This window comes from Homo sapiens, chromosome 5 (genome assembly GCF_000001405.40).
Source record: "Homo sapiens chromosome 5, GRCh38.p14 Primary Assembly".
Taxonomy (NCBI): Eukaryota; Metazoa; Chordata; class Mammalia; order Primates; family Hominidae; genus Homo; species Homo sapiens.
In genome coordinates, this window is record NC_000005.10 from 150,487,940 (window position 1) to 150,506,101 (window position 18,162).

General features: G+C 51.2%; 1 protein-coding gene across 1 annotated transcript in view, besides 5 other annotated features; it reads left to right on the top strand.

The window, feature by feature from the left end:
• Positions 1,892–2,071: an enhancer, noted in NCBI's record as "active region_23420". NCBI's record gives its function as "activates an Ori minimal core promoter by ATAC-STARR-seq in GM12878 lymphoblastoid cells {active_cell/tissue: GM12878}" and the evidence as "EXISTENCE:reporter gene assay evidence [ECO:0000049][PMID:35858748]".
• Positions 4,649–5,270: an enhancer, noted in NCBI's record as "H3K27ac-H3K4me1 hESC enhancer chr5:149872150-149872771 (GRCh37/hg19 assembly coordinates)". NCBI's record gives its function as "activates a minimal SCP1, AML or CMV promoter by ChIP-STARR-seq in primed H9 embryonic stem cells {active_cell/tissue: H9 hESC(primed)}" and the evidence as "EXISTENCE:reporter gene assay evidence [ECO:0000049][PMID:30033119]".
• The window catches only part of NDST1 (N-deacetylase and N-sulfotransferase 1), a 60,433-nt gene continuing 52,110 nt past the window's right edge, over positions 9,840–18,162 (top strand). Inside the window, exon 1 of the mRNA NM_001301063.2 lies at positions 9,840–10,040. The gene's annotated coding sequence lies outside the window, so the exon portion shown is untranslated. The remainder of the gene's footprint in view (positions 10,041–18,162) is intronic.
• Positions 10,588–10,882: a silencer, noted in NCBI's record as "tiled region #285; K562 Repressive non-DNase unmatched - State 14:Gen5'". NCBI's record gives its function as "represses a minimal TATA promoter and a strong SV40 promoter by Sharpr-MPRA in K562 cells {active_cell/tissue: K562}" and the evidence as "EXISTENCE:reporter gene assay evidence [ECO:0000049][PMID:27701403]".
• Positions 13,533–14,093: an enhancer, noted in NCBI's record as "H3K4me1 hESC enhancer chr5:149881034-149881594 (GRCh37/hg19 assembly coordinates)". NCBI's record gives its function as "activates a minimal SCP1, AML or CMV promoter by ChIP-STARR-seq in naive H9 embryonic stem cells {active_cell/tissue: H9 hESC(naive)}" and the evidence as "EXISTENCE:reporter gene assay evidence [ECO:0000049][PMID:30033119]".
• Positions 14,094–14,652: an enhancer, noted in NCBI's record as "H3K4me1 hESC enhancer chr5:149881595-149882153 (GRCh37/hg19 assembly coordinates)". NCBI's record gives its function as "activates a minimal SCP1, AML or CMV promoter by ChIP-STARR-seq in naive H9 embryonic stem cells {active_cell/tissue: H9 hESC(naive)}" and the evidence as "EXISTENCE:reporter gene assay evidence [ECO:0000049][PMID:30033119]".

Here is an 18,162-nt window from a genome sequence, read left to right on the forward strand (position 1 = left end):
TAGGGCAAGGGTGTTCTTGTGTAACTTGGCCATGGCAGGGGTTCTCATTGCTAACTAATAGACGGGTCTGGATGCGCAGAGTCCTTGAGGATAGTAATAGTGTCAGGATTGCAGAACCCTAATGGAGAATGCATGTGTGTACAGGTCCCTGAGCCTAGCTAGCTCAGTATTGGGCACCCTGTAGGCCCTCAGTAAATATCCCACAAGTGAATACGTGAAGTGGCTTAGATTTCTGCTGGCTTTCACACCCTGGGTTGGCCCAATCATTTGGTGGGGGTGACATCTTATGAGTACTGATCGGGCTCTGATTGAGGTCCTTGAGTAATTACTTTAAAAATGGAAAACAAATTGCAATTTAATTAACAACATCTTAAATCTAGGGCTGAGAGAGAGTGTGGTGGGTGGGGGTAGATAATGAGAGAAGTTCTTGGGGAAGGAAAGTTTGTGCATTTCAGCCTGCTCCGAGGGGTGTTCCAGCACTGTGTCTGGGTTTTGCAGGGTTTGTAGGCTTTTTGAGGGCCCTGGAAATAGGGGGCCCTCCTGGGCTGATAGTTCAGCTTGTAGGAATAAATGTGGAAATTCCGTTGCTTTGCTGGACATTGAGGGGACTCAGAAAAGCAGGGCATTGAATGGAGGAGTTGGAAGGCTGACTCGTCATATGGTCAGACTGTCCTTGTCATTGTGGTCAGAGCAAGAGGAAAGGCCTCTGGGGGAATCAACAAGTAAAGGGAGGGCCCCAGCAAGCAAGAGAACATGGATAGTGAGCCTCCTGTCGCAAGGAGGTATGCGACGAACAGTTTTGTAATCACAAGTTGAGGATGTGGTCAAGAATTTAAGATCATAGGCTGGGGGTTGGCGTCTGACAAACTCACAAATGGGCTCTGGTCTAGGCAGCCCAGAGCTCTCTCTGCCCTAGGCTTTGGACCTGCTTGGCTGTGCTTTGGCCGCCCTTCCATGCTTTGGGACCAAAGCCAGGCCTGCAAGTCTCTGGAGGCTGGGCCGACTTCTACTGGCCTGGAATTTGGATTTGAGTATGGCTTGAAATATCTGGACTGTTTGGAGGACTTGGACATTCTTTACTTGAAATGGAACATTAGGGTAATTTGTGAAATGTGTATGGAAAATGTCTGTGGCTGAGGGTGACAGGGGACATGAAATGGGGTGCAGTCCTGCTGGATTCAGGAGAGGCTGTTCTGATGGAGGACAGAAGACAAGGATTCAAATGATGGCTATGGGGCAGGATCTGATCAGTTATAGATGGGTTTTGGAAGGTCAGTGGAAGGAAACGCTTTCTGCTTATTAATGTCAGCAAGGCCTCCTGGAGGAGGAAGTGTTTTCGAGGGTGCAGACTGCGGGAAATGGGACAATAGGAGACAAGATTAGGTCATGGGGAGCCTGCAGTGCCCTGCTCAGGAGTTTGGATTTTATTCTGTAGCCTATAGAGAGGACAGAGGGTTGTAAGTAGCTCATTGACTCGATGCCTGTTCCTGTGCCTTGTGTCAGGCACCATGCCAGGCTCTTTACAGACACCCCATTGAAATATCACAATACTCTGCAAAGTAGCTGCTGCTGCTGGTCCCCTATCCCTGCCCCATTTTCAGATGAGGAAATAGAGGCTCAGAGGGGTGGAGTCACTTATAGAGCTGGAATTTGAACCCAGGCCTGAACTATTTCTGCCTTACTGTGTTGCTTCTCAGGGGTCTTTTGACCAAAGATGGGAGCAAGACTGGCAGAGTTAAGACCAGGCCAGAGATTGCGCTCATCATGGTCCTGCAGAAAGCTGACCACAGGCTGACTCAGGCAGCGGACTGACAGGGAAGGAGGGGGAAGCTGCAGGACTTTGTAGCTGTCTTGGCATTTGGGGTCGTCACAGGTGGTTTTAAGGTTTGGGGAATAACCCTTAAGGGGCAATATTACTGCTTTCAAATCCCTGAAAGGCCCTCTACAGGTAGGGGGCATAGTCTTGTCCTTCAGGGTTCCTGAGGATGGAGAAAGCAACAAGGGTGACAGCTCCAAGGAAGCTAGTCCGGAAGTAAGCTGCCCAGAAAGAAGGCGAGAACAGCATGGCTGAAGGTATGCAAAGAGCCTGGAGAGCTGCAGAGGCGGCAGGAGGATGCATCAGCAGGGGCAGGCCTGGGTGGCCACTCTCAGTTCCCTTTTCACCCAAGAATCTCAGCATTTGGATGGTGCCTGGCCCACCTCCACCCTCTGTTTTCTCATAGCTTTGGAGCTGCCCTTCCTGCACGTCCTGGGGAGTTCCATATGGCCTGGCCTGCAGAGCTCCACTGGGAGAGTCCTTGCCGTTTGGAATACACTCAGCCCAGCTGACTGTCAAGGGGCCCCTTGGGGATGTCTGGAGCAGTGGCCAGAGCTGGGCTAAGGACTGTACTTTCACAGAGGATTTGAACCCTCTGCTTCCATTTCTCATCTGTGAAATGGGGTCAGTCTCTTTTTCCTCACCTGTGAAGAAATAAGGCTAAATCATGAATCAGGCTGAATCAGTAGGGCTTAGGGCAAAAGGGCTGGTGAGTTTGTGGATTTGAAAGTGAAGACGCAGGCGGGGGTTGTTCCCCTCCTTCCCTGCAGTGGAGGTTAAAGGAGGCTCTCTTGGTTTCTGGGGGTCACCAGCAAAGTTGCTTTCTCTGTCTGTGGGGCTCTTACAAAGCTCTGCCTCACAGCTTCTGTCTTGGAGGTGTGGAGCTCAGTGGAAGAGGTGGATGTTTGGGGGCAGCGGTCCTGGACCCTGCGGCCTCAGGGCTAAAGCCAATTTGCCATCAAAATCCTTATCTAGATGGAGGAGAGTTTGTGCTAAGTTGCCTCCTGGCCCTTTTATTTCTACTCACCTTGTTTCTTGAATACAGATTGGATTAATCTAATTTTAAAATGTGCATGACGAATGAGCATTTGTTTATTTGAGGGCAATGTATGGGAAGTGCCTGCTGTGTGACTGCAGGGCCCCCTCTCCCACTCCCCCTCAACTCTCAAGCAGAACTGGCCTCTTTCCCTCTCTCTGGCTGTGCTCCTGGCCCCTCCTACCTCTACAAATCTGCTCATGGTGAAAATGCTGCACTCCAGTCACTTCCCCTTGCTCACCCTAAAATCCTCCCTACCAGTACACAGCTCCAGGGTCACCTCTTCCATGTAGCCATCCCTAATTCTCCAGAGCTGGCATTGCCTGCTCCCTCCTTTACATGTGTAGAACCTGTTACCTGGACCTCTCATGGGCCCTTCAGCTCTTAGCTTTGAACTCTAGCTTCCTAAAGACAAGTCTTATCTCCTCTAGGCTCTGTACTCTGGAGGCAGGGGCTGCACATGACCGCTTTCCAATGGGGGTGGGCAGTGTTGTAGAGTGGAATCAAAAGTCCTGGGTTCAAATCACCATTCTGCTACTACTAGCTGCATGATCTAGGGTAAATTACCTAAATTTCCCTGGACATCAGTTTCCTCAACTTCACAATGGGGATAATAATAGTTCTGTTTTGTTAGGGAGGTTAAGGAAATCAGTGCTTTGACATAGTAAGTGTGCAGTAAGTAGAAGCTGTTCAAAGATAACAGTTGTTATAATTATTGTTTGTAGCTAGAGGGGATCTGTCCTTTTAGAGATGAGAGAAAGAATCCCTGGAATTTGAGTTTCTGAACTTTCTGCCTAATGGCCTGAGATGGCATGTGCAGATGAGGAAACTGAGGCCTGGAGAGATAGAGCAATTTGCATGGTATGTGGGAACATCTGGTTTCATCTAGGAAGCTGGACAGGATTTCTTTTCTTTGTTATGCCTCTGTTTTTCTTCTTCCTTCCTGTCATCAAGCCTAAGGTGCTCAAGTTCCATGGGCTCAATCTCCTCCCTGGTGACCATGTTGAAGGATGTCTAAAGATTACACCAGATAAATTGGGCTGGCTGAGAAGGTCCCGCTGGGCTGGCGGCCCTGTGGCTGTCCTCGTAACCAGGGACCCGTACCCCAGACTGCATGGGCTGGAGCTTTTGGAGGCCTCCCACCCAGTCTCACTTTGCCTGGGAAGGGGGAGAGGATGGCGGCAGAGACAGGTGACATGGGCTTGGTCTTGGGGCAGGTGACTAGAAGATCCAGACAGAGCAAAGGTTGAGAGCCAGGCTCTGGAGCCAGGTGGCCTGTGTTCAGGTCCCTGCTGGGCTGCTTCCTATGTGTGAGACCTTGGGCAAGCTGTTTAGCTCTTCCTCTGTACAAAGGGGATGATAATTATCCCCATCTGACAGGATTTAGAAAGATAACACACTGTGAGCCCAATCTATGTGAATTATCGTTATTATTGTAGTTGATATTATTAACTAAGGAGTTCATTTAATCCTCACAACAGCAATGAGAGATAGGCACTATTATTATTCCCTTTTAGCAGATGTAGCAAGCAAGGCTTAGAGAGGTAGGTGGCCAGCCTGGAGAAGTTTAGTCCCAGGGGATTACAGTCAGGGCCCGCTGCTTTCTGAGGGGTTGCTCTGGCCAGAGGAGGTAGACTTGTGTGAGGTGCTGGAGGGCAAATCCAATGGGTAGATGGGCCAGGAGAGGCTGACTTCAACTCAGTGTAATGAGGAGACTTAAAAAAAAAATTAGAGCAAGCCAAGATGGAAGGGATTGTGTCTGCAGGGAGCGAGCTCCCTGTTTCTGGAGGTGGAAGCAGAATCCTGGAGCTCATGTGATGAAGAAGTGGTGGGGATGGCCTCGTTCAGACCTGAGGTCTGGCTCCACGAGGGAGGGCTTGGATTTTTATCATCCTAGGCTGTCCAAGGGATCGGCCTGTCTGGGCAGGTCCCAGGGTGGCATTAGGTGGAGGTTTGCTATAGTCATCGCTGCACGGCAGCCACCTCTGGTTTACACCACCAGCCTTGCAAGTATGACCTGCCCAGGCAGAGGCCAGATGAGGAGAAATGAGTGTTGTCATAGCAGGGCCTTTACTCATGCTGCATCCTCTGCCTGCATTCATTCCCTCCCCCTCTCCTTATGCCCGGGCAACTCCTGCTAATGCTTCTGTGAGTGTAAGCACCATCTATTCATGGAAGCTCTTCCTGATCCACCTGCAGGCTAAGTCAGTGGTTCTGAAAGTTGGGTTCTGGATCAGTAGCGTCAGCGTTACCTGGGAACTTGTTAGAAGTGCAGATTATCTAGCTCTATACTGGACCTGCTGAATTAGATATCCTGGAGGGTGGGATTCAGCAATCTGTTTTAAGAACCTTCCCGCTGATTCTAATGCATGCTGAATTTTTTTTTTTTTTTTTTTTTTTTTTTTTGAGGCAAAGTTTTGTTCTTGCTGCCCAGGCTGGAGTGCAATGGTGTGATCTCGGCTCACTGCAACCTCTGCCTCCCAGGTTCAAGTGATTCTCCCATCTCAGCCTCCCAAGTAGCTGGGATTACAGATGCCTGCCACCATGCCCAGCTAATTTTTGTATTTTTAATAGAGACAGGGTTCCACCATGTTGGCCAGGCTGGTCTCGAACTCCTGACCTCAGGTGATCTGCCCACCTCGACCTCCCAAAGTGCTGGGATTGCAGGCATGAGCCACCGCACCTGGCCGCGTGCTGAATTTTAAGAAATACTAGGATAGATCATTAAAAAAAAAAACTGATGCCTGTTTCCTTGGGCTCTCTTGTTTTCAGCCTATTCAGTCACCCAGCAGATGTGGGGGACCCAGAGTAAAGCCCAGGTTCTCACCACCCTGTTTTCAAGGAGCCCCCATCTTGTAACAGCTCCCTATCCCCCAGGAAACAATCTCGTGACACAATGATGGGATACAACAGAACCCCAACATGATTATAGGAGCCAGTGCTGGGGCAACATGAGGAAGGCAGGATTGGGGAGCTGGAAGAGCAGGGGAGATTTTGTGGGTTGCAAGCCTGGGTGCCAGAGACATGGCAGCTCTCTTCTGGGGCTGGGGCCAGGGCAGGGGTTGGGCAGAGAGCATGGGCTCTGCCTTAAAGAATAGTGTGCTTAGGGCCGGGCGTGGTGGCTCATGCCTGTAATCTCAGCACTTTGGGAGGCCAAAACGGGTGGATCACCTGAGGTCAGGAGTTTGAGACCAGCCTGGCCAACATGGTGAAACCCCATCTCTACTGAAATACAAAAATTAGCTGGGCATGGTGATGGGTGCCTGTAATCCCAGCTACTTGGGAAGCTGAGACAGGAGAATCGCTTGAAACTGGGAGGTGGAGGTTGCAGTGAGCCGTGATTCTGCCACTGCACTCCAGCCTGGGCAACAGAGCAAGACTCCATCTCAAAAAAAAAAAAAGTATAGTGTGCTTAGGTGTGTATATGCACACGTGTGTGTGGTGTGGGTGCACACATATGCGATTACAATGGCCATATGTAGTCTGAGGGGGCTGAGTGGCCTTAACTGCTATCAATCCAGTGGTTTTAAGCATCTCAATAATTTTTTTCCTTTTTTTTTTGAGACGGGGTCTCACTCTGTCACTGAGACTGGAATGCAGTGGTGCGATCTTGGCTCACGGCAACCTCTGCCTCCCAGGTTCAAAGGATCCTCCCACTTCAGCCTCCTGAGTAGCTGGGACTATAGGTGTGCACCACCACGCTCAGCTATTTATTTGTGTGTATTTTTTGTAGAGATGGGGTTTTACCATGTTGTGCAGGCTGGAATCCAACTGAACTCAAGCGACCCTCCCACCTTGGCCTCCCAAAGTGTTGGGATTACAGGCATGAGCCACCGCACCCAGTCAGCATCTCAATAATTTCTTTTTCTTTCTTTCTTTCTCTCTTTTCTTTTCTTTTCTTTTCTTTTCCTTTCTCTTTCTTTCTTTCTTTCTTTCTTTTCTTTTCTTTTCTTTTCTTTCTTTTCTTTCTTTTCTTTCTTTCTTCTTTCCTTTTTTTTTCAGAGTCTCACTCTGTTGCCCAGGCTGGAATGCAGTGATCTTGGCTCACTACAACCTCTGCCTCTCAGGTTCAAGCGATTCTCCTGCCTCAGCCTCCCAAGTAGCTGAGATTACAGATGTGTGCCACCACACCTGGCTAATTTTTGTATTTTTAGTAGAGACGGGGTTTCACCATGTTGGCCAGGCTGGTCTCGAACTCCCGACCTCAAGTGATCCACCTACCTTGGCCTCCCAAAGTGCTGGGATTACAGGCCTGAGCTACCGCGCCCGGCCTCAATAATTTTTTTTTTTTTTTTGAGACGGAGTCTTGCTCTGTCACTCAGTCTAGAGTGCAGTGGCACGATCTCAGCTCACTGCAACCTCTGCCTACTGGGTTCAAGTGATTCTTCTGTCTCAGCCTCCCGAGTAGCCGGGACTACAGGCACACGCCACCACGCCCAGCTAATTTTTGTATTTTTACTAGAGACAGCATTTTGCCATATTGGCCAGGCTGGTCTTGAACTCCTGACCTCATGATCCACCTGCCTCGGCCTCCCAAAGTGTTGGGATTACAGGCGTGAGCCACTGCACCCGGCCTAATAATTTTATTTTTTTATTTTTTATTTTTTTTTGTGATGGAGTTTCACTTTTGTTGCCCAGGCTAGAGTGCAATGGCGCGATCTGGGCTCATTGCAACCTCTGCCTCCCGGGTTCAAGCAATTCTTCTGTCTCAGCCTCTTGAGTAGCTGGGATTACAGGCGCCTGCTACCACGCCCGGCTAATTTTTGTATTTTTAGTAGAGACGGGGTTTCATCACTTTGGTCAGGCTGTTCTCGAACTCCTGACCTCGAGTGATCTGCCCGCCTCGGCCTCCCAAAGTGCTGGGATTACAGGCATGAGCCACCGTGCCCGGCCTTAATAATTTTAATGATGATGATCATAATTGCTGCTCACATTTATTGACAGCTTATAAATGCTTGCTGGGCACTTCCATGTCACCTCATCAGAAGCAATCCCCAGGACAATCCTATAGGTAGGCAGTATCATCACTATTACTGTCCCCACTTAATAGATGAAAATACTGAGGCCACACAGCTATAAAAGGATAGATCTAAGAATTCTGTGGAGATATATAGAGTGCTTAAAGGCATGATCTCATTGGAAGGAGAGCAGTAGGGGATTGTCATGGAGTGTTTGTATCATAGGCACAACTTACGGTGATTTTCTAAAGATGTCCCCAAATATATATTTTGTCAAATGAGTGAATTATGCTTTGGAGGAAGGTGGATGGGATTGTGTTGGGGTGGTTAGGGCTCCAGCCTCCAAGCTGGGGCTTCCACTGCAGACATTGTTGTTCTCCTGTTTTGTGGATGGGCTGTCTGAGGCTCAGAGATTCAGTAGTGAGTTCAAGGTTCCACTGCTAGGGCAAAAGAACAAATCAGAGAGATGAAAGTGGATCTCTAACTGGGCATGGTGGCATGTGCCAGAAATCCCAGCTACTCGGGAGGCTGAGGTAGGAGGGTTGCTTAAGCCCAGGAGTTCAAGACCAGCCTGGACAACATAGTGAGACCCTGTCTCAAACAGCAAAAAGAGTAGATCTCCTTTGGTTCTAACAAGAGGGGATGTGAGATTCAAGATCAGAGCCCACTGTCCACTCTGCTGTCTTTTCGTGCCTCGGTGTCCCCAAGCTGCTGCCCAGGAGCCCAAGGGTGGGCAGTCTTTGTCTGACACAGGAACCCCTTCACTTCACATTTAGGGGATTGAGGCCTAGTGGAGCAGGGACTCACCCACGGCCACACAGGGGGTCAGAATTACTGTTGAGGCCAGAATCCAGAATTGTTTCAGTTCCAACCAGGAAGGGGTTTGTTTCCCAAAACCTGTCCCTACCCCACCCCTTCTTTGGCAGGCGGAGTAGCTGTCGCCCTCAGGGTGGCCCAGAGCAGTGCTGGGGGTAGAGATGAAGGTGCCTTGTGAAGACACTGCCAAGAAGGGGTGGGGCAACTTCCAAGAGGAAGAGCACCAAGAAGCCCAAACCCCAGACGGAAACCAAATGTATTTTCTGGGCCCTGAGAGGATATTTGGAACAATGGAGGTGGGATGAGGGAAGTTAAAAAGGGCTTCTTGATATCCTTAGAAAAAAAAAATACAGGCTTTAAGTTTGACTTTTGTTTCTCTGAAGGATGTTTGTGTAACTTTCTGAAGGCAGGATCCCAGCACTCTGTGAAGCTTGTCAGATGCTGTTTTTTTGTTTTTTTAAATTTTTATATTTTTTTGAGACAGAGTCTGCTCTGTTGCCCAGGCTGGAGTGCAGTGGCGCGATCTTGGCTCACTGCAGCCTCCATCTCCCGGGTTCAAGCGATTCTCCTGCCTCGGCCTCCCGAATAGCTGGGATTACTGGTGTGTGCCACCATACCCAGCTAAATTTTTTTTGTATTTTTAGTAGAGACGGGGTTTCACCATATTGACCAGGCTGGTCTCGAACTCCTGACCTCAGGTGATCTGCCTGCTTTGGCCTCCCAAAGTGCTGGGATTGCAGGCATGAGCTACCACGCCTGGCCATTAGGTGCTGTTTTTATAGATTCAGGGCTTTGGAGCTGGGAAGGACTCGATCAAGTAGTCTCCTCACTTTATAGTTGGTGAAATGGAGGCTGAGAGGTGGGGGGCCTGCTTGAGGTCACACAGTGAGGCAGCCGAGGTCTTGGATCTTCCTATGTGTTGCAAGAGGCTGTCCATCTTGACTTACCACCTCCTGGGACCTGGCTGGCATGGGGGCTGGGCGGTCACTGATGAGGGGTTCCCTTCAAAATGCTCATTGCTGCTGGGGATAGGATAAGGCCAGGTCTGGTCTTGGGCAAGATGAGCCCACTGGTGGGGAGAAGGCTGAGATGGTACACCTGGTAATGCCACCCTCATCCAGATGCCAGGCCCAGCTGTGCACCGTCTGCCCAGCAGCTGGGAGCTGTGAGTCACACCCAGTGGATACAGAGGCGCAGGCCATTGTGTGCCGTGATTCATTCTGTTCTCCCGGCCCCGAAGGGATGACGAGGCCCTGAGCACCGATCCATGCCCACGCCTGTGGATGAAAGCTGATATGAGGAGGCCCAGGGGACCTGAGGGAGTCGGCTCCCTCTGCTACCTCCTGTCTCTTGAGTATCCTGTGATCGTGACCTGTCCATTCCCACCAGTGCAGGGGTCCATGAGCCCCCAAAGGTGCAGTGAGTTGTAGGCATTTCTGTGTTTTCTTTTTCTGAAGAAAGAGTTTGTTGGTTTCATCAGATCATCAGAAGGCTGGGTGTCCCTGTGGAGTGCTGACGGGGCCGTGTGCACTGCGGGCTTGAGAAATGGTGGCAGCGTGGTGCAAATAGAAAGTAGCCTGGTGGCAGTGTAGCATCCTGGGTCAGGGTGTGGTCTTGGAGACGGGCTGTTGGCTTCTGAGCTGGCACCTCCACTTAGGAGCTGTGTGACATTGGGTAAGTTACTTTGTCTGTGCTTCCTCAGTAAAATGGCAATAACAGTATTTATCTCATGGTGTTATAGTTAGACTTTTAGGTAAGTTAATGTTTGTAAAGGACTTACCTCGTGCTTGGTACAAAGTAATCATTTGGTAAAAGTTTGCTGTTGGTAGTTCTAGCTCTGCTATGAATTTGCTGAGTGATCTTGTAAGTGTCTGATCCTGGGGTCTTAGTCTCCACCCCTGGCTCCGCACTCTGTGCTGGGCTTTCTAGGAGCTGCAGGACCAGCTTAGAGAGCAGGGGTGGGCAGGGGAGGTAGGGGAAACCCTTTCTGCATTCTGGGACTCCCTAGCCCAGGCCCTCCCTGGCTTTGTCCTGAGGCAGGGTTATGTAACCAGCCGGGTCTGGCCAGGCAGGGCACGATTCTCAACCTCCTTTTGTCCCTCCATTGTCTCTTTCTCTCCCTTCCCCCCACGGAGCTGTCGTTAGCTGACCTGTTCCTCAAGCTCCAGGGATGAAATTGGACCCTTGCTATTCTGCCACCAATTGATTTAGTTTAGTCCAGAGGTTTGCTGGGCTGGCGGCCCCTCCTCCCGCTACCTGGGGACAGCACTAAACTGATACCTCTATGCCTGCTTCATGCCTCCTTTTTGGGGAGGAAACACAGGAGTCTAGATGACTTGGGCTCTTGGTCCAGCCTGCCAGGTTGTAGGGACAGGATGTTCCTGCCTATGGCCTCTGAAGTTCTAGAGGTACACCCCACTCCCTATCCAGGATTCCTTCCCCAGAAGAGCCTTCTCCATCCTTGCAGCCCAGCACCAATGCCTTCTCTTCCAGGAAGCCTTCCAAGGTACCTCAGCTGCAGGGAAGTTGGCCTCTACTGAGCTCCACAGTGTGTTCTCTGTCCCTTTTAAGAAAACAGAGGTCACAAACTGGCAGGCCACATTTGCCCTATGGGCAGATTTTGTTTGGTCCATGCCAAATATTGAGCTGGTTGCCAACCAGAGGTTTTACATAAAAACTCAGACTTCTGGCTTTATTTCAAAAATTGGAAGACAGGAAAACCTTGAGCCTACATTCTCCAGGGGTCATTGCTGGAGGTGAGGCATGTACACTTCACCCCATCCCCAGCCAGCCATTTCATATGCTTACATGATCTTTCTGGTCACTGGAGGCATCTGAGTTTGCAACCCTGTCCTTAAGCTATGAACCACTTTCTCTCCTACCTTGTTCCTTTGTGGGCTCTTCTAAGGCAGCGGGTGTAAGGGCTGTGGGCTGAATCACCTTTGTGTCCCTCGAAGCATGGAAGCATTGGAGCATCATGCTTAGGCTCAGGACGGTTTCCCCAGTAGGAGCATAACAAGTGCTTCCTGTGTGAAAGCAGGTGTGGCCATGGTCTATCCCTCCAGCTGTGAAGGTTCCATTTGCTAGAGGCCTCTGGGTCAGCCTGCTCTGTGACCCTCGAATCCTCCCCCAAGATAAGCTCTGCCTGCGTAGCCACTGACCCAGGCGGCTTCTTAAGCTGCAGATAACAGTCCCTGAAAGGGCGGGCCCCACCCTGCAGTGTAACCAAGGAGAGGAGCATCCACCTGCAGCTGTCACCAGGTCTTACTCTCATGGTGGGCTTGGAGGAGTTTAGGGAGGGGAGGACTGTGCTCAGCAGCCTTCAGAGGATATCAGGTCCAGACCTCTGTGTGCTGAGGCCAGCAGGGTGAAGAGGGGTGTGGACCAGTTCAGATGTTTACTGGCCTGGGCTTCTTCTCCATTGGGCCTCTCTGTGCTTTCTCCTCCTAGAGTATGTTGCTTTATCCGACAGCTCCCTTGTCCAACTGTCTGTCCCGTCAAGGTTTATTTAACTCATTCAATTGAAATCTTAAGTATTCCCTGGGGCCTGCTAAGATGTCTTCTCCTGGAAGAGGTCTTAGCTGAGAGGTTGCAATTGTTCTGGCTACAGGAAAAACCTGGGAAGCTTGCAAAAATGCATGCAGATTGCTGCCCCCACCCGCTGCCTCCTGCTCTGATTCTTTCATTCTAGGGTGTAGCCTCCCCATCCTGAGAACATTCAGACCAGGGGGTCTATAGACCACTCTTTAAGGACTGTCTTAGTGCATGGAGCCCAGGGCTGGTAGGGAGGAGCCTTGGGTGGCTGTTGTGCTGGGCGACATTAACCATGCCCCTTTCTCTCTCTGGGCTACTCTTTTGCCCCCTGTGCCAATGTTCTGGGCTTCCCCAGTTGTCGTGGCTGAGTGCAATGTGAGCTATCCTTGGAGAGGATAACACAGAGTGGATTGGGGCAGGTGCCAGTGTCTGGGTGGGGTGAGGGCTGCCAGTCCTGGCCCCACCCTAGCCAGGCCCAGAGGAGTTTCACATTCACATTAGGGAACAGGTCAGGAGAGGAGGCAGACTGAAAGCCTGGCTCAAAGTGGGCAAGTGCTGTGCCCCTGGTATCAGGCCCCACAGGGAAAGCCTGGCCTGGGTGGCCCAGTGACCTGGCCACAGGCTGAGGGGCTCTCCTGCTGTGTGGTCCTGTGGCAGGCAGGCTGAAACATCAAGTGCAGGCATGAACAAGCCATTTACAGCCGGGTAAACTGAGGTACATAGAGGGAAGACACTCTCCTAATGTCACTTGAGTGGGTGGAAAGCTGGGCTGGGACCCCAGGTCTTCCAATGCCAGGCAAGGCCACACTCTTCCATCTCCACCTCCCTCTGCAGGGGCAGTGGCAGATCATCTAGCTGGGACAATCATCTGATTGTCTATGACGACCTAGTTAGAGCCTGGAAAAATGAACCATCGTCACAGCCACCCCGGAGGCATGAAACCGGTTGGGTGTGCAAATTACCCCTCAAACATTCTCCATCCCATTTTTTGTTGTTGTTGTTTTGTCTTTCCTTAAACTATCTGATGGGACAGCTGCCTCTGTGCCCGCTTCCGCCTGACACTGGGCTTCGTGCTCTTCATTCTGAGAACAAAGCTTCCTTCTGATAGTCCTCCTGCTGACCACAGGAAAAGGGCAAGCGTAGCACCAGCCTCCCTCCTCTGCCTCCTCTTGCTGGGAGCATGGGGTAGGCAGCCTTGGATGGATGCTGGAAAGGCCATGAAGGTGGGTGGCGGCGGTCCAGTCCACATTCCCTCTGGCAGCCCAACTGTCAGGACTCAGAAGTTCTCCCTCATGGCCAAAAGGAGAGGAAAAGGCACCGGACAGGGACAAACGTAAAGTCTTGTCATCCATTGGTCCAAGCAGTCAATTGGACTAGAACAGGACTGGGAATTTGGCTGGGAACTGGCCAGGCGAAAACCCTCAGGGTTTTAGCTGGCCCAGGTTGAGTCTTGTATCAGCCTCTAGCCCCTGGTCTGTAGGGGCTGTGTAAGCCTAAAGTTGTGTGTTCAGATGAGGGAGACAATAGTCCCTCATTCAGTATATTTGTATTAAACATCTACTTTGGTCCAGGCTCTTTTCTAGAACTGGGATGCAGCAGTGAACAAAACACATGGAGACCCTGTTTTGGACGTGGGGCTGACATTTGAGTGGTGGGATGAAATGAACAGCCCAACAAGCTCACTGTCAGGTGGTGAGATGTGCCTGGAAGAAAAATAAAACTGGCTTGTGGGTCAAGAGTGTGATTTGGGGGAGTGACCCAGCCATGTCAGGTGGTCAGGATGGTCCCTGGTGAGGGGCAGTAGACTCCGGGAGGGTGGCCCACGGGAAATTGAGGGAAGAATTTTCCAGGCAGAGGGAGCTGCAGGGCAAAGGCGCTGGAACTGGAGGGCATGGGTGGCCAGAGGCAGGGCTGAAAGAATGAGAGGATGGTGGAGGAGAGGGGCCAGAGGGCATGTGGAGACAGGTAGGGCCTCTTGGCCATGGGGAGGACTTTGTTGTTTGAGTCTGAGTGGAGGGGAAGCTGCTGGCGGGCCCGATGTGAGGACTGACTGGTTTGGGTACACATTTTAGAGAGACTGCTGGGGGTGAGGGTGGACGCAGGATGACTAGCTGGGAGGCTGCTGCAGTCTTGCCACGAGAGAGGTTGGGCGAGTCAGTGGTGGGTGGGGACGGCGGGGGAGCAACCAGGGGTTGGTTCTGGATTTATTTTGCAGGATGAGCTGATGGGATTTGCTGATGGATTAGATGTGGGGTGTGAGAATAGAGTGTTGACCGCAAGGTTTCTGGCTTGAGGAACTGGAAGGACAGTTGGACAGTATTGCTATTTACCAAGACAGAGAAGGCTGTGGGACAAGCAGGTTTGGGAAGAGCAATTAAGATTTGGGGTCAGCTGTGCTGGGGTGGGGCCTATGCTGGTGGGGGAGGGGCATGGTGCACATGGGTGCTGGGTCCTGCATGTTCCTGTTGCTGTCAGGAACAGCAACAGGGGTTGTGTGAGGGGCCCCAATGCTAGGAGTCTGTTCTGTGAGAACAAATGTTTCCTGGTCCCTTCATGTCCTTTTCTCTCTCTGCAAACCTCCCTCTGCTTTTCTCTTCCTTTTGGACGAGGAAAAAGGCAGATTCTGAAGCCTCATTGTCACTGTGATGGTCCTAGCCTTTCTGCCTGGCATGCCTCCTGACAGGGAGTTCCTTCTGGGGTAGGCAAGGTTGGGGGCGGAAGGGTGGGGTGGAGGTTCAGGCCTTATCCTGGCTCTGCTACCAACAGAGCTCTTTGCCTTGGTTTCCCCTCCTGTATGGAGAAGGGTTGAGGTGGCCCCAGGGTTCTGAGGGTGGCAGGGAGCATTTGAGGAGGCCACATGGCACAGTGGTTAAGAATCTGGGCTTGGGGTCAGGCAGGCATGGGCATGAATCCTTGCCTGCTGCTTGGCTGTGAGACTGTGGACGAGTAACATAACCTCTCTGAGCCTCAATTTTCTCATCTGTAGAAATGGGCCAGTGATAGTACCTGCCTCACAGGGTTACTGTGAGGTTGAATGAGGAAATGTCCATAAAGCACTTAGTGCCAGGTGCAGTGACTCGTGCCTGTAATCCCAGCACTTTGGGAGGCTGAGGCTGGTGGATCACCTGAGGTCAGGAGTTCGAGACCAGCCTGACCAATATGGAGAAACCCCGTCTCTACTAAAAATACAAAATTAGCCAGACACGGTGGCACACACCTATAATCCCAGCTACTCAGGAGGCTGGGGCAGGAGAATCATTTGTACCTGGGAGGTGGAGGTTGCTTGTGGTGAGCCGAGATTGTGCCATTGCACTCCAGCCTGGGCAACAAGAGTGAAATTCTGTCTCAAAAAAATAAACAAACAAAAAAATAAAGCACTTAGCAAGGCCCTGGCATATAGCACACCTAGTAAACCAAGGCCTCTGCTCACAGTGACCCATGCAGGCAGGCAGGTAAGGGGCTTGGCCTAGTGAGTGGGAGGAACCGTGGGAGGTTATTGAATAGGAGCATGCCAGGCATGTGGTTTGATGGGGCAGCTGTGAGTGTGGAGACTTGGGCTGAGTTTTCTTAGCAAGTCCAAGAGCCCCTTCCACCTTCCAGAGTGAGAGCTGCGGGCCGGCCCTAATGGACCATCTTCCTTTCCCTAGCCAAGGGTCTTCATTGGCTTGGCATGGGCAGCCTCTGTTTTGCACAGGTCCCTTGGGGTGGGGTGGTCATTTTCCTTAAGGCCTCCTATAGGACCCCTTGTCTCTATATCCCAGTGGCTAGCCTTAGGGAAATGTGAGGGAAGGGCTTTGGGGGTGTGTGACATCAAAGGGACTTAATTTACGTGTAGGTAGGGCTCTGGACAGGGCTGATGGGTCAGGCGGATCCTGGAGTGGCAGTCCACTGGACACTGGGAGTGACCTCGGTTTCTGGTCTGCATCCAGGCTGGGTGGTGCTTGCTCCAGCAGAGCCGTGGAGAGGTTGACAATGGGTGGAATGTGGCCCCTTCAGAACCCACACTTCACTGGTGCCCAGGCATGCCAGCCAAGCCCTCTGCTTCTGCAAGCCTGTTTCCCAGCAGTTGAGCTGTGCCAGGACAGCCAAGGACATTTCAGAGTCCCCAGGGCTCATAGCCAGGCTGTCACCGGGCATTGCTTATTTTCCCAGGGCCCAGGAGTCTTCAGGGATGGTGGGGGTTCTGGAGATGTTCCAAGGACTTTTCTTAACAGCTTGGTAAATTGAGGTCTGGAGAGAGCAAGGCACTTGACCAAGGTCTCACAAGGCCGCCTCCCTCATATCTGCCACTCCCCTCTGTTTCCGTGTCCTCTGCACAGACTCCTGGCCTTCTGCCTGGACGTTTGTAACAACCTCCCTCTTGTGGGCTCCCTAAGAGCTTTGTTTGTCCTCCATTATCGTAATCTTGCCATAATCTGCCAGATGCACACACTATTTGATGTGTCTACCTCCTGTCCCCTCCACTGACTGCCCGTGACAGAGTCTCCCCGACAGAGCTGTGCAGCATGAGGTTTAGGCCCCAGGCTCTGGAGCCAGTCTGAACTCTGTTTGGATGCCAGCTCTGCCCCTTCCTGGCCTGGTGACCTTGGGCATGATACCCTACTTTTCTGAGCTGCTGTCTTTGTGAAATGAAAACAGTAGCAATACTTAGTTGATAGGAATGTCAGGACAGTTAAATGGGATAACGTGTGAAATGCAGAGTACAACACCTGGTACCAAGTAAACTCTCAGAAATGGTCATCATTGTCCCAAAGGCCCATCAGTTGGTTGAACTGGAAAGTCGTGAGCATGGAGGAGTAGACCCAAGCTTGGACTGGGAGGCAGAGGATGTGGGCTCCAAGTTCATCTCAAACATTGTGTTCCTGTGTGCGTGTTGGGAAGCCACTTATCCTCTGGAAACCCCACTTTCCTTTTCTGAGAAAGGGGGAAGAAATCCCTGCTATACTTTAATAAAGTTGGCATGTGATACCGCAGCAATGCCTGTGAAAATGCTTTGCATCTGTGTAATGATTTAAAAATGGCACAGCGGTGGCTGTGGTGTGCTGATGGCGATGAGGGCATTGTAACCACAGTGGTGGGCAGCTGGCCGGGCTGGAGGCTGGTTCATCTGTGGAATGCTTAGTGCCCACACGGACTTCCCCATCCCTGCCTACCTGCTCCCGGCTGTCCACCAGCCTGCCTTCACATTAGCCCCGGCATTATATGCTAGAAAATGTGGGAGGTGCAAAGAGCTGATGGCATTTCCCCAGCCCTGGTGGGTTTTCTGTTATCTGTGGCTGATGCCATGGAATGTGGGGATTAAGAACCAGACAGATGCTGGTTCGAATCTCAGCTAAGCACTTCCCAACAGGGACCTTAAGCAAGTTGCTTAATCTCTGTGGACCTCAGGCTCCATATTTGTAAAATGAGGCCATGATCAAGTAGAGGCCAAGCATTTAACAAAGAGCCCAGAACATAATGGCATCAGGTGGTTGTATAATGTGTATTCTGCCTGGAACGTGGTCACTGACAACGTGGTGACTGACAGGTTATCGATGGCAGGAAGCTGGGGCCACTGTGCCCATTTCGGGGATTTGCTGCAGAGGTCGGTTATGCTCCCTACAGAATAACCCAGCTTAGATTTAGGAGGGTCTATGGAATCATATGGCATGATTCAATTTTTTAAATTAACTCGTTTTTTAAAATTTTATTTTTTTTAGAGATGGGGTCTTGCTGTATCTCCCAGGCTGCAGTGCCATAGTGCAGTTGTAGCTCACTGCGGCCTTGAATGCCCGGGCTTCCAGCAATCCTCCTACCTCAGCCTCCTGAATAGCTGGGACTACAGGCTCGTGTCACCATGCCTGGCTTCATGATTCTGTTTTATGTGACCAAACTGAGGCCGAGAAAGGAGTGGTACTTGCCTGAGGTCACAGGCAGGTTGTGTAAGAAGGCCGGGCCTAGGATGAGGCAAGTGAGGCATCTAAGTGCAGCGTCTCAGGAGGTGCCCGCTGTGTGCTTGCACA